Genomic DNA, 15,593 nt, shown 5'->3' on the forward strand with positions numbered 1-15,593 from the left:
ATAATCAATAGAATAGTAATTCCTTCCACAAAAAACTTTCCCAATATTCAATTCTGCTTTTATTTAATCTTGTTTATAGTAGGTAAGATAGAAGAAAGGAAGATGCCATGTTCTAAGCTCAGTGTCAGTTAAGAGCATGTATTTGGGGATTACAGCATCCTGTGCCCTCTCCCTTCATGAAAAGGTTCAGTTTAAATGCTCACCTTGACATCCAAATTCATACCACTTTATCAACAGTTGAAAAACAAAATCATCTAAGGCCCTCCACCTTCACAAGCAAACAATGCACCATAGTGCTTTGATATTAGCCTACAGAAGGTAAACAACTTCAAAACAGATTGTGGCAAACACTGTTTTGCTGTTGCTCACAGATTAAGTTTTAGCCAAAGGACATGTGCCTTTTTCCAAACAATCTTTTCCTAAAAGAAACAGAAATTATCAGTCACTCCTGTTTTAATTTCCAAAGAATAAAACTATATTATTAACCTATGGTCTCCATTAACAGCATTTTGCTGCTAAATACAATTTAAGGTAACACTTTTAATACAAGGGATCTAGAGGTTGGGATCTTGAACATTTTGGGAACCACCACCAACTGTTTCTCAACTAAAATGAGATAGCATTTTCTAAATTTAATAATATTAAATATATAATAATACTAAATATATAATACTAAAATTATAATTTTACCAAATTACTAAACTCAGTACTACATGATCTGGCACCTAAACTTAGTACTAAGATGGTTATTAAAATAAACCATCTACAGACAGCCCTAACAAAAACTGTAATAGGCAGACCTCTCAAAATATTTGTTTAATTCAAAGCTCAACTTTTCCTATGAAACAGTATTTTTTAAAATGCCATCTATATAGATGGCATGCTAGGGTGAACTGGAAGGGATCTGGAGGAGTCCAAAATTTTCTTATATATAATAAAAATAAAATTCAAAATGAGAGGAAAAATAATTTTGTATGAAAATTCCCAAAAATATCTCAATTTAAAAAAAAAAAGAAATCTGCACCTGATTCCATAACTCTAGCAATTTTATTTTTCACATCAAACACTTCAAAATAATGTTCAAGCTCTTCCTCAAGCATACATAGAATTTTCTACTGGTCTTTATAATTCTTGAAGATTCAAGTTCTAACAGCAACTAATCTAAGTTTAATCATATGAAACTAAACTTTTCTAAAGCTGACTTTTAAATTTAAATCCATAAGCTTTACCAATACATGTTAATTGTATTTTCAAGCATTCTGCAAATTTTAATTAAGTTCACTTAGGTGCTTAAAATTTGGTTAAGTCAGTTATAATTTGAATCTTCTACTGACATTTTTCTTTTGGATGGCTCATATGAAACAATAAAGAATAGTAATCTAAAACCACCTGTTTGCAGATACTTGGAATTATTAATTTCATCATTTTGATCACATAATTTAATATAGAATGCATATCCATTATAAAACTTTTATACACATGTTACTTAAATCTCTGGGTTTTTATATTGTTACACTTGGTACTTTCTTAAAAACTAAATTTCAAGGTTTTTAGAACAAAGTATTTATGCAAAAGCCTCCATATTTTGTTGACTTTGTAGCTACTCTACCACTTCATAAACATATTCAGAGATTTTAGAGTGTTGTGTTTGATTCAAATTATTCATCTATCACTTGGAATATTTCCCTTCTAGTAGATCGGTTTTGTTACTTTTTAGCAGGATTAAGTTTTTCCTCTTCAAGGATTACAATTAGTGTTATTAACTGAGCAGTTATGAGTGTCTGGAGTGCCTAAAGATTCAATATGCAAAGAAAGCTTGTGGCTATCCTAACTTTCTGGGGACAGGCTGTAACAGAGAAGGTACACAAGCTGTCAATATTCCCTTCTTGACCTGGGTAGTAGTTACATAAGTGTGTTAGCCTTATAGTTATTCAGTAAACTGCTTTATCCCCATTCCTGTGGCTCACGCCTGTAATCCCAGCACTTTGGGAGGGCGAGGTGGGCAGATCACGAGGTGAGGAGATCGAGACCATCCTGGCTAATACGGTGAAACCCCGACTCTACCAAAATATAAAAAATTAGCCAGGCATGGTGGTGCACGCCTGTAATCCCAGCTACTGGGGAGGCTGAGTTAGAAGAATCTCTTAAACCCGGGAGGCAGAGGTTGCAGTGAGCCGAGATTGCGCCATTGCACTCCAGGGTGGGCAACAGGGCGAGACTCCGTCTCAAAAAAAAAAAAAAGTTACACTAAAATTCAGATTGGCTTGTCTGACAAATTATCAGTGAGTCTAGAGATAACGTTATTTAGAGTGGCACCTTTTCTATATACTTTCCTAAAATGGTCTCCACAGTGATAATAATTACGATGGGTGACAAATGAGTACTGCAATGAATGTGAGGCATTTAGCTTTTATTATTAGCTTTGCAACCTTTAAATTAGTTCTTTGAGCTTAATCTGATACTTTTATAACCAACTTCAACAAATAAAAACTGTGTTTATTATCTTAAGCTTTATAGAGGCTTAAAAATTTAAACTCCTTTTTAAGACGGATGTTTTTGGTAATGGCTTTACTTAGTAAGTGCTATATGCAAATAAAAGATTTAGGAAGAGGATGGGCACAGTGGTTCACACCTGTAATCTCAACACTTTGGGATGCTGAGGCAGGAGGATAACGAGCCCAGGAATTCAAGACCAACCTGGGCCACAAAGTGAGACCCTGTCTCTACAAAAAATTAAAACATTAGGCAGGCATGGTGGTACATGCCTTGCAGTTCCAGCTACTCAGGACCCAGAGGCAGGAGGATCATTTGAGCCCAGGAGGCTGCAGCAGTGGGCTATGGTTACACACTCCAGCCTGGTGACAGTAAGACTCTGTCTCCAAAAAAAAGGATAAGAACAAAAAAAGTATTGGGATACACAAATCTAAATTTGAGATAATCCTCATTTGTGACAAATATTCCACCTTATTAGTGACTATTTTTCTTTTTTGGACAACTGTTTATTGGCTTTAACATAAAATTTGTCCAAATGGTGCAAAAATACACATCTATATAAATTAAATCTACTTAAATATAAAGTACTTGAGAAGAATATGGGTCTTTATAACAGAAAATCTATTTTTAAAATTATTTTTTTCCTTAGGTTACTCACAATTTAAAGAATGCACCAAAACATGAAGTATAACATTCACAAATGTAATAAAATTTATATACCAAAATAACAATACAGAATTCAGAAAGTTTACAGAGGAAGCCATATGGTATTCAGATGGATTTTGTTGGAATTTTAACTGTTGTAAATTTTTAGACGTTTGAGGGAAAAAAATCACTTTTTAAATATAACCGTCAATATCTTATGTGTGCCCCCATTTCCCTGTCACCAATTAGCGGCATCATGGTGTGCATTAGCTTCAACTTTGTATCTATACACAATAGTTACATATGACCTCATGCACTGCATGGATACTGCAGTCACTCTCCAATTATCTTTTTGTAGTCTGTGTGAAGCAGTGATCACTTTCAGCTCAGATAGCAATAAACTGTCTAAGGATAACATAAAATTGTCAATAACTCTAACCTAGGTAACCTAGTTCCAGTCCCAAAATGGAACAAACAAGGATGCATCTGATTTTACACTCTGCTTCTATACACCAATATCCAATTTATATTGAGGGTCAAAAAGTAAATTAATGATCTTCAAAACTGTTATTCTTGATTAAAAATTGTCCAGACATAAAGGTGAAAAAGTTCAAATAGCAAAACTTTATATAATCAGAAAATATTCATGTAACTTTTAAATTGGACAATGCTTTCAAATAAGAAGCAAATTTACATATAACTTTTGAAGTATTCCCTGCATAATTTGGTATCCACTCTGCTAAATGGGTCTTTAAACCAAGTCCAACTGGAGAAATCACCCAATTACCTGGTCTAAGATAACACTGATAAAAAAAGAAGCTTTCTCCAACAGCATATAAAAGGTATTTTACTTTCCTAAATTCACTAGCATTGTCCAATTGAGAACTAAAAATGCAGAAAAGTCATTTTTTGTTCAGACTACAAATAACCTGGAAGAGGGTAGTAAAGACTTAACTAATCCAACTATAGCCATACATTTTTGATCTGGGCTCAAATAATCATTCAAAGTTTTTTTTGCGGCAGGGGGGAAATCACAATAAACTGAGTGTTTTGTTAGGAAAAACTATAAGCAGTGTTGTTATTTCAGAAAACAAAAAGAAATACCTAATAGCTTTGTTGTTTTAATAATAAAAGAACATGTCATTTTTGCTGTTAACTGTCATCCTCCACTTACCAGAAACAAAAATTATGTAGTTCATAAAAATGCACAGGTACAGGCTTCAGTTACCTTTGATATGTAAATTAATGCACTTTATTGATATAGCTGCAAATTTAGAAAGATTATAAGCATTATAATTTAAACATACATAATGCTATTTTGATATTTTTAAAGATCCACTTTTTTGAAAAATCAATGTGACTAATAATTTAAGTCTTGACTAACAACATATCAAACCCATATAGTTTTGGCAATGCATTAGATAAGAGTTTCTGCTAGATGAAAATAAGCTATCTCGTGAAATTTGGATCTGAACGCCATAGTAACACACACATATATCTCTCACTGTAAATTATTTACACTCCATCTGAATCACCTTTAACAAGCCTTAAGCATGACAGAAATATGTGCACTAGCTGGGCACAATGGCTCATGCCTGTAATCCCAGCACTCTAGGAGGCCAACGCAGGTGAAGAACTTGAACTCAGGAGTTCAAGACCAGCCTGAGCAACATGGTGAAACACCATCATTACCAAAAATATAAAAAAAGAGCCAGGCGTGGTGGCACATGCCTGTGGTCCCAGCTACTCAGGAGGCTCAGGTGGGAGGATCACTTGAGCCTGGGAGGCGGAAGTTGCAGTGAGCCAAGATCATGCCACTGCATTTCAACTTGGGTGACACAGTGAGACCCCATCTCAAAAAGAAAAGAAAAGAGAGAAAAGAAAAAAAAAGAAAGATTTGAATGAACAAGAATTACACTTAATGATGCAGTTATGAGCATATTCAATTCTTGAGTTCCAAGACTTTCAAAGTGATTTTGAATAAGCAAACATCTCCATCAAAGTTAAATATTTAATTTCTAGTTCATCTGCAGATAAATATTTCCTGAAAAAGAATCATTACATTCTAAAAATAAGATCGTTGGAGCTGTGAAACAAGAAAAAAATGTCTTGGCTTGAAAACAAAACAAAACAAAACAAAAAACTTGTATTATGACTTTGAATCTTTCTTTAATCTTGATTTTCCAAATTTTAATTTACTTGGAAGTAAGAGAAAAGAAATTGAAGGAGATTATTTTAACAAGTATTTTAACATGTAAATACAGGAAAAAGTTTATCTCAATTTCAGAAGCTGAAGAATGAGCAATTATTTTAAGAAACTGTTCACATAGATCTCAGCATCCTCTTGAGAATCTGATTTCACAAAAACTAGTTCTACAATGGCAGAAAGTTTCAATGTTTTCTAGGATTTTAATGCTTTAGGCGAATATATACCTTTACCATACCTTTTGGAGGCTGCAGAAGCCTGGAATTCTCAAACAAATGTTTCTTTTTGATAGGTAAGATGACTGTGTCTTTCAGATCCGTAATGACATCATCTAAACCTGCTATATCACTCCAAGTAACCTGGCAAAAGTTAAGGTCAACATGAATTTTACTACAAATGTACACTCACTAAAGTAAAAAGAACGCTCCCAAAATTACAAATGTTAATCTGATGATTATACATAAATAAGTTAAAATCATATATTAACATAAGTAAAGACTTTTCCAAGCAGTAATGAAATAAACTGCTATGAAACTGGAAAAAGGAATTTAATAGTCAACTATCTACTATTAAAAATCTGTAAGTCAGGTACTCAAAAATCTGCAAGGGTCTAATAAGCTAAATTCATTCCACTTGTAAGGAGAAAATACTCTGCTGCAAGAATACTGAGAACCAGCTGAGACATAATTTAGCACTGGCTGATGGGAAAGAGCTCATCAGGAATGTACCTATTTTATACAGGATGTTGTCAAGCATCACAGAAATTAATTTTAGAAATAAGGTCTTACAAAACATAGCTTCTGAATTTTATCCATCAAAAGTAAACCTATGGACCAGGCGTGGTCGCTCACGCCTGTAATCCAGCACTTTGGGAGGCCAAGGTGAGCGGATCACTTGAGGTCAGGAGTTCGGGACCAGCCTGGCCAACATGGTTGAAACCCCGTCTCTACTAAAATTACAAAAAAAAAAAAAAAAAAAAAAAAATTAACCAGGTGTAGTGGTGTGTGCCTGTAGTCCCAGCTACTTGGGAGGCTGAGGCAGGAGAATTGCCAGAACCTGGGAGGCGGAGGTTACAGTGAGCCAAGATCATGCCACTGCACTCCATCCTAGGTGACAGAGTGAGACTCTGTCTCAAAAAAAAAAAAAAAAAATTACAACTATGTTAAAACTTAAGGAAGTATCTTTATAAATAAAAACAGGGCATACGTATTTTCAAAATAGACAAGAAAAACCTGATTCAACTTGTCCTGAAAGGACTGGCACTTGTCCTGAAAGGAGCTGGAGTTGGGGCCAATCAGAAGCAATACTTTACAATAGATTCATTTCCTTCAAAATGTAAAAAAAAATGATAAAAAGGGAAGGTGCAAACCAGCAGCCAGATCTGAAAAAAAAAATAACTTTCACTGTAACAGCAACAAAAAACTAAGTCTGTTAGTACAGATTTATTCAGAAATTAATATAGGCAGGGTTCCAAGAAGGTACCATTGTAAATCTATAAACCAAATTCAAATGCAGGCTTAATTCTAGGGTGTGTGTATGTCTCTGTATACACAGATATTAAGACATTGCAGACTTTTATTTTCTAGATATGGAGATGGGACTACTTCATTCTACTTATTTATAGCAATATAACATTAATGTATTAGGCAAATATTTTCTATTTATAGAATTTATAAATGTATACTTATTGTTACAAAATATTGATATAGGATCTTATACATTACATCAATCTCATCCTCAAAATAATCCTTATGAAGTAGGTAAAGTAGGTATTATTATCTCTAGATTATACATGAGGGAACTGAGACTCAAAGAGGAAATCATTTGCCAAGGCCATTAATGGAAAACCTGGGATTTAGTATCCTGTGTTATCATACCATATTATGAAAATTTAGGTTTAAACTCTATAAAACAAAAATCCACATGACTTAAAGCAGTACGCTTTATACACCACAAAGGCAAATACATAAAAGTTTTACTAAACAAATGCGTACAGAAAAGAGTTAACAAAGTAGGCCTGAGACTGTTGTCCTTAGAAAGGCATATTTGCAAGATTGGCCCTTGGCTGGCATGTGGGAACTTAGATTTCAGAAGAGTGCCACAATTTCTTGACAAGAACAGCTCACTGTGCCTAAACTGTTTGTGCAAACAATATGGTTTATGGTGAAACATCCATTTTCCTTCTGGGAGTCTAGAATTTTGGTACATTTAAGGGAAGAGGAAAGCTATATAACCAGCCCCCAATAAATATGTTGGGGACTGAGTCTCCCGTGAGCTTTCCTGGTGACAACACTGCACATGTGTTGTCACAACTTGATGCACTAATTAAGCACTGTGTGACTCCACTTGGAATCTTGCGCCTGGCTTCCTTCAGACTTCATCCCATGCCCCCTTCCCTTTGCTGATTTTGCTTTGTATCTTTTCAGTGTAATAAATCATATACAGGAATACAACTATATGCCGAGTCTTATGATTCAGCCTAGAGAATCAAAGAACCCGGCCGTGATCTTTAAGACCCCTGACACAAAATGCTAGAACCCACCCCCACCTCTAAAAAAATCTTAAATAAGATTAAAGATACATACATGCATATTAAGAGGGTCTACAAGATGAGCAGCAATACTCATTTCATATTCTGAGAGCTTCACATTTTTCACTCCAATTTGCTTCATTAGTTTTTCTGCCTAGAATGAAAAGAACAAACAACCTGCTTTGATTTGATATTTAGATACTGGCACTTCGAAATAGATATATGTGAAGTCTAAAGAGCAATGAACAGATAGATATACAAGAAATTTCCAAGGATATTCTAGGCCCCTTGATCTTAGCCTTCTCCATTGTGAGCCCTCAGGTAACGATTTGAGGCTCTAATCCACTGAAATCAGGGAAATTTAACCACCTTTCAGGAAATGAGAAAATAGGGTATGTGACTGAAGAGATCTTACACTTCCAAGAGGGGCTCCCATTGTTTCAATGAGACTCTAGGATACAGCTTAGTTTCTCATTCCTAACAGGACTATCATGACTGGCAAAGGTGAAATCTCAAGAGGAAAGACAGAGGAGTTAAGGAGGGCAAGAAATGTATAAGTGAAGTTTCTTTAAACTGAGTATCTGAAACAGATGTCCAACTTCCTTCAAATTAATCCAGGTATCTACAATAGATGGCCACACATATCCCATTTTAAATTGCTCTGTTATGCTGTCCCTTTTAGGTAGAAGACAATTCTTGGGACTAGGCAACCAGAGTTATAATAAAAATAACTCTAACAACCAGCATTAAACCTATGAGTTCTAGCAATACAACAAAGCTTTCAATTAAAATAAAGATAATGAAAAACATTTACTGAGTGTGCCAAATATTATGCCAAAATACAGTAAAAGGATTAACTTATTGAATCCTAAGAGCCAATACTATGAGATAGTCATAATATTTTCCCAATCACAGAAAAAGAAACTGAAGTTTAGCATGATTAAGTAATTTGCCTTTGGTTAAAAGTTAGCCAAGAGAAGAAACAAGATATGAATTCAAGGAGTCCAACACTAGAGTCCATACTTGACTACCACACATATTTGCCCTGATTTCTTCAATTTTAAGACTGGAGTTTATAACCATGAAAGAGTCTTTAAAAATCTATACATAACAAATTCAAATTTCAATTAAGTGAACATTTTAGAAATGAAGGGACTCTGGTAAATCATGTTTACCTAAGTTTTGGTTATTACATTTTCCTAAAATGCTTTTGATTATATAGAATCTTGCTGTCTATCCAGGGTTATGACTGCTCTAAAAGGAAATTCACATCACACAGCATTTTAGTTATAGAATAGCTAGGAGGTTAGGATAAATGTGTTTAATAGCTTTAAAAAAAAAAAGTACTATGGGGGCCAGGAATGGGGGCTCCCAGCACTTTGGAAGGCTGAGTTGGGAGGATTGCTTGAACCCAGGAGTTCGAGACCAGCCTGGGCAACACAGACGCCATCTCTACAAAAAATCAAAACTTAGCTGTATGTGGTAGTACACGCCTGTAGTCCTAGATACTCTGGAGGCTGAGGGAGGAGGATTACTTGAGCCTTGGAGATCAAGACTGCAGTGAGCCATAATCATGCCACTGCATTCCAGCCTGGACAAGAGACAAATCTTGTCTCATAAGAATTTTTAAAAAGTGCTATGAACCACATCACATAATCAAACAGGATACATCTCCTGTTTATCTTGCCCCTGTAAAGTCACTGAATCAATAGATAATCTTTTGTAGATCCCTTTGTCACTTGTAAATACCTTCTCTTTTACTGCCATAAGTCGTTTACATGTCAGTTAAAAAAGGTATCCTATTTTAGCATCTGAATAACATTTACTCTTCATTTTCATTATGCTACAGTAAATGTGAAACCCTCCCACATGTGTTCTTTTTAAGCAACGCTCGAAGACAGTGGTTTTCCCAGGGGACATTTGGCAAAGTCTGGAAATACTTCTGGTTGTCACACTTGGGGGTAGGGTGATACCAGCATCTAGTCAGTAGAGGTAGAGATGCCACTGAACATTCTACAAGGCACAGGACAGCCTCCCTTTCCCCATCCCAAATAATTATTGGCCCAAAATGTCAACAATGCCTGATATGAGAAACCCTGTTTTATTCCCTATTAGCTAGTTGCCCTGAAAATTTTACTCTATGCCTAAATAAAGCTTTTAAAATTGCCTCTTGATTTAAAGAATAGCCTTTATTTCTATCTGGAACTTCCTAAATAAAAAATGACAAATGAATAATGTTTAGTTTACATAGAGACAGAAAATTTTATCTTTTCAAGTTTACCTAAGATCTCTTTCCTGCAACAGCAGTCCCACTTTAACAATCTCTTCAGATTGTATTCACAATATATCATTAAAAGAAAAGGGAAAAGGAACTAATGGTTTTATTGAGCACCTACCATATCTAGCACTGTGCTAGGTAATTTATAATCAACCCTTAAAATTAACCTGAGAAGTAACTATTATTATCCTTATTATTTAGATGAGGAATTTACAGGTCAGAGAAATTAAAAGAAATGTCAGGATTATACAGCTAGGAAGTGACATTAACAGAGCTCAAATACTGATTTGTCTAATTTCGAATCCCATATTTTGCTGAAACACTAATACTCTTCATTTGGGAGAGCAGAACATGGCTGGCAAATAAATGGAACACACCAAAAAACACACCAAAACTGCCACCAAACAAACTGTGTCCCAGGAAGAAGTTATACAATTGCCTAGTTTTGACACTTTTAAGTGAGCCACTAGATAAGCAGAAAAACAAAATTATGATTGGACTACTGTAAAAATGGCTTATGTTTATGCATACTTTCTTGTTTACAGCTTAATGAAAGTTATATTTTCTGATCACCATGGTTTGCTTGTTTTTTTTTTTTTTAAAGTAGGTCTCTCCAAGTGGTTGTTGTTTCTGTGGAGGGAAAATGAGTTGGATGGGGAGTGTGTGGGGGCCAAAAGAAGGAGGAAAACTTACTTTTTACTGTATACCCATATTTTTTTGACTGTTCCAAATGATTTTCTACCCTTTCACACTATTTTTTACCCTTTCATGCTATTTCACTTTTTTCTCCATGCAAAGTATTATTTTTTCAAAAAGATTAAGAAGTGGAATAGGAAATATTAAACTAATATTTTTGCCTGGAGTAGGGAAGGCAGAAATGGGGACAAGCAGCAGCAAAGAAAATACTTATGAGCTAACACTCATTTCATTCAGGTTCTAAAGATTCATAAAATTGTCCTTTTGGAAGAATCAGTTTAGAAAGTTGGACATGTCATTAACAAGAGTGAAAAATCAGAGATGAACGAATTAAACTTAAGTTAGAAACAAGGACAACCTCTGATCTTTTTACCAAGGTCATAGCTGAAGTGTTCCAATTTAAGTGTATGCAGACGAATCACTGATATAAAGCTTTTTAAAAATGCATTTAAAAGGGAACTAACAAGGATTCTGAGTATGTAAGTATCTTTATATAATAGATATAATCATTTATTACAAACTTACATTAAAACTCTGGAAAAACATCTTCTACACATGTGGAAACAGTGATCCTCTTTTAGGGTTAGTGTACTTATACCTCTTTCCTCTCATTTTACCATTATGTATTCTGAAAGTTCTTGGGTAAGATGGCTTTGTACTGTAAAAGGAAAATAAATCTTGGGGGCCCCAAATCACTAAGCTAAAGGGAAAAGTGAAGCTGGGAACTGCTTAGGGCAAACCTGCCTCCCATTCTATTCAAAGTCACCCCTCTGGCTCACTGGGATAAATGTATATCTTACTGCCTCCTTTAGAGAAGCTAGTAAGAAATTCAAAAGAATGCAATCATTTGCCTCTTATCTACCTATGACCTGGAAGCCCCCTCCCTGCTTCAAGTTGTCCTGCCTTTGTTTCCAGTTCCGGACAGAACCCAATGTTCATCTTACATATGTTGACTGATGTTTCGTGTCTCCCTAAAATGTATAAAACCAAACTGTTCTCTGACCACTTTGGGCACATGTCTCAGGACCTCCTGCAGCTGTGTCATGGTCCCGTGTACTCAACCTTGGCAAAATAAACTTTCTAAATTAACTGAGACCTGTCTCAGATATGTGGGGTTCACATTTTGGTGACCATGAAGGGATTCTGAGTGGAGGTGACCCTGACCTTTGACAAATATCCTATCGGAGCTTGACACCAGCATGAGCTAACTTTATGGCTCAAACCGATAGTACTATTTGCTGATGTCTGTGAGTATCCCCTCCAGATAACACCTGATCTCCCAAAATTTGGTGGAGACCTAAAGTTTATTTTGCAATACAACTCCCTTTTTTTGGAGTTTCACTTGCTTCCAACAAGGAAAGCAAGATTTCCTGCTTACATAGCGATGGACAGAAGGTAACTCCTTTACAGAGTTTGAGCTCACTCCTAGCAGGGAAGATGAGTTTGACTTTTTTCCTGCTTCTAGGATGTAGAGAGCAGTCTTCAGCCTGAGACCTATCCCTGGGTAAGTAGCTGAATTGGGGTTTTGTCTTGGCTAAAGTTTAACAACTAGCTGGTCTTAATTTCTCCTTACCATTAGCACAGTCAGTGATCATATTGTTGGGTTTTTTGTTGTTTGTTTGTTCTGGTCTTTCTCCCATCAGATTTGACAAACTCTACTTGACTTGGTCAAATCTGAGAATTCCAAATTATGGGTAACAAAACCTCTCTAATTTGGCTAAAATTCCTCGCAGCTGCAAAAGAGGAAAGAAAAAAAAACAAAAACAAAAATCCATGCGCTTGGTTTCTGTGTTTGCTTACTGTCTTAAAAAAACAAATGTTCTTTCATTTACTTTTCTTCCACCCTATACCTCCTTCCCCCTTTGCCATCTGTAGTACCAAAAAATCTAGAGAAGGTTTCTAATGACTTGAACCCATTAAAAGAATTCAGAACAAAGACACCACTCACCCCTTTTAGAGTGTTCTGTTTTCCTTGTGGAGTTTCAAGAGTCATGGGCAGAGTCTTCTTAAGTCTAAACCTCTGTTTCCATATTATTCCATGACCTGACTTGTTTGGCTTGGGGGTACCAGAGATTATCTTGTACCACGAGAGGATTTGACCTTGGTGTGTGTAATGGTGAATGAGAGCTACAAGTTAGGGGTGGCTGAGCACAGTTTACAGGAAGTGGTCTTGGCTGTTTTTTCTCCTACGAAGTTGTTAAGGATCCTGATTCTACTTCAGAGATGCATTCTAAAGGGTCTTCTCTATCGCCTTTTCTACCAAAATTAATCTCTGTTTGGCTTTTCTGCGCACATTTGTGTGAGGAACTGAACTGTTGTTTTTGCAGGTAAATGACAGATTGAGTTTTCTCAGCTCCAAAGAGAAAGGGTGTTTTGCTCCCCCCAGCCAAAAGGTGCCCCTGGGTGACCGGGGGCCTAATGGGAGTGTACAGGGGGTTAACCTCCCTCGACGTGCAGTGGCCTTACAAGAAAATCCCCAACAAAAATTAATTTTTAAAAAGGCTTGTCCAGGAAACACACATAAGTCCTGATCATCCCATGTTTTGAGCCCTCTCAGAGGTCATGGACCTCTGGAGAGAGAAACCAAGACATGTAAGAGGGCAGAAACAACTCAGTGGTGACACACTGTGGAGTCCTGCCCACAAGCAGCACACATCCATCCACACATAAAAACCCTAGGCCACAGCTCAGTTCCTCCTTTTAAGAAAAAGTGGGAAACGTTCTAAGAATGAGGAGAATGATCCCCTTTCAAGCACTCCGTAGGTTTTATGGCACCACTACTTGCCAGAGTTTATGTAAAACGGAAGTAACATGGTCTTTGTGCACATTTACATTAAAGAAAAAGAACCCTAAGGTCGACCTACAAACTACAGAGTTGCTACGTTCTCTTTCTGTGTCTTTCATTTCTGGCTGCTTTGAATCTGCTGTTATTTTTCTACTAAGATAAAAACCACTGTTTGGATCTAACAGGTTTTTTGTGTTTTTTTTTTGCAAGCCAGTGAATTTGTATTTATCTCATGGCTAAAGTTCCAAAGTAAAAGCTATAGGGGGTGTGTGTGTGTGTGTGTGTGTGTGTGTGTATTTAAAATGCCTTTATAATTTCCATAGCTTTATGTTTAATTGGCAATTAAATCCACTTTAATTTCCCTCTTAGCACACTAGACGTTTTCTTTCCATACTTTATGGTGTAAATTTGGCTATCTGATTTTCACCTGAGTTGTTTCCTTTAACATGCAAATTAAAGGCTATTTAGCTGACAACTGCCTAGGGTAGTGAAAAAGGTTATTAAGAATTTGAAGTCTATGGTAGGAAAATAAAATTTTTATGAATCTATAATATGTACTTCTATCAGCATGCCTAATATGTCTATGTATTTATGTGTTGTGTACACAATGTTTCACTACTGAAAATATATAAAAGAGCTCTAACTAATTGGCTTAAGAAAATAAAAGTGCTTGGAATCAAATACTTCATCAGGAAAAAAGAGAAGACTCGTCAAATGCTTTTTCAAGTTTACATAATTTAATAAAATCTTTAATAAATAAGCTAGCTTTAAAATTACTGGCAAAATAATATTAGAAATATCTTAAGAATTGCCAAAATATATTTTTGTTTGCATTTATTAATCAAGCAATTTCATACTTATCCCTGCAAAATACTATTAAGGTGTCAAAATTTGGCATAGGGATTAAAAACCATAAATCCAGCCCCAAACAGAATGATCTTTGCTTGCGTAATTGTTAATAAATAAGACATTGATATTGGTTTAATGAAAATAGCTACATCTTGAAGTTAGTAAGATTATCATAACTTCTAATCTTGTGGCTTTAGGCAGTCTAGACCATAGTCAGTAAGGTTTGTTTTGGGAAAAGGCTGTTATTGCCTTTGTTTCAAAGCTAAACTATAAACCAAGTTCCTCCCGAAGTTAGTTCAGCCTATGCCCAGGAATGAATGAGGACAGCTTGGAGGTTAGAAGCAAGATGGGGTGAGTTAGGTCAGATCTTTTTCACTGTCTCAGTTATGATTTTGCAATGGTGGTTCTGTAACTTTAAATGATGACCATTACAGTTTTCATAAATAGTCTAGGTAAACAATTAAAATAATTAGGTAAATGCAATGGGATAATTGTAGACAAACTCATCATAATTTAGAATCTAAAGTTATACTAAAATAATAAATATTTCAATAAAATATATTGTAGAAAAATATTTTTTTTTTTAAAAAGTGTGTCCTTTTTAAAAAGGTGAACAATTTTTGTCTAATTCAATGCTTATTTAGGTCATGTATAAAAGAAGGTAAAAGGAACCAGGAAGTAAGAGACATGTAAAGAAAGTTGTAAAAATAAAGAGGGTTGTTTTGGTAAGAAAGCTTAAAAAGAAATAATGAGAAAGACTCTTATATGGTAAATTTAGTCCTACAATAAAATGACTGCTTAAGAAAGAGGATGGTCAGGACAAACCACAGAGTCCAAGCATGTCATGAATGGTCTAAGACACAATAAGAGGATTTATTTAAAAAAAAAAAGAACAAAGAAACTTTTATATAATTAAAGGGAAATTAAAATGGTCTTTCTAGAGATGATTGGACTTGATGTAAAAAAAATTATGTCTATATATATATACACACACACTAAATCACTGGTTAAAACAATGACATTTTCTTAAGTTATTGATTCACGTTTAATAAATTATAAGAGATTTTAATTTTTTTCTAACCCAAACTTCAACTTTTATTGCATCTCACTG

At 35.2% G+C, this 15,593-nt stretch overlaps 1 protein-coding gene and 1 long non-coding RNA gene across 19 annotated transcripts in view; one reads left to right on the forward strand and one right to left on the reverse strand.

Annotated features, from left to right (window-relative positions):
• The window catches only part of ATAD1 (ATPase family AAA domain containing 1), an 89,850-nt gene that overhangs the window by 33,216 nt on the left and 41,041 nt on the right, over positions 1 to 15,593 (reverse strand). For 17 of the 18 annotated variants that reach the window (NR_135914.2, XM_005270252.6, XM_047425908.1 and 14 more), the window contains 2 exons: positions 7,930 to 8,028; positions 5,583 to 5,703 (listed from right to left, as the gene is read on the reverse strand). Coding sequence is in view for 17 of the 18 variants with exons in the window: in XM_005270252.6 (XP_005270309.1) it covers positions 5,583 to 5,703; positions 7,930 to 8,028 (220 nt within the window). In the remaining variant the exon portion in view is untranslated. Of the gene's footprint in view, positions 1 to 4,312; positions 4,403 to 5,582; positions 5,704 to 7,929; positions 8,029 to 15,593 lie in introns of all 18 variants that reach the window. The other variant, NM_001321969.2, reaches the window with a different exon arrangement.
• LOC124902476 (uncharacterized) overlaps positions 1 to 15,593 on the forward strand; it is a 36,088-nt gene that overhangs the window by 17,050 nt on the left and 3,445 nt on the right. Inside the window, exon 2 of the long non-coding RNA XR_007062224.1 lies at positions 12,314 to 12,352. This is a non-coding gene — a long non-coding RNA (uncharacterized LOC124902476). The remainder of the gene's footprint in view (positions 1 to 12,313; positions 12,353 to 15,593) is intronic.

The sequence above is a fragment of the Homo sapiens genome, chromosome 10 (genome assembly GCF_000001405.40).
Source record: "Homo sapiens chromosome 10, GRCh38.p14 Primary Assembly".
Taxonomy (NCBI): Eukaryota; Metazoa; Chordata; class Mammalia; order Primates; family Hominidae; genus Homo; species Homo sapiens.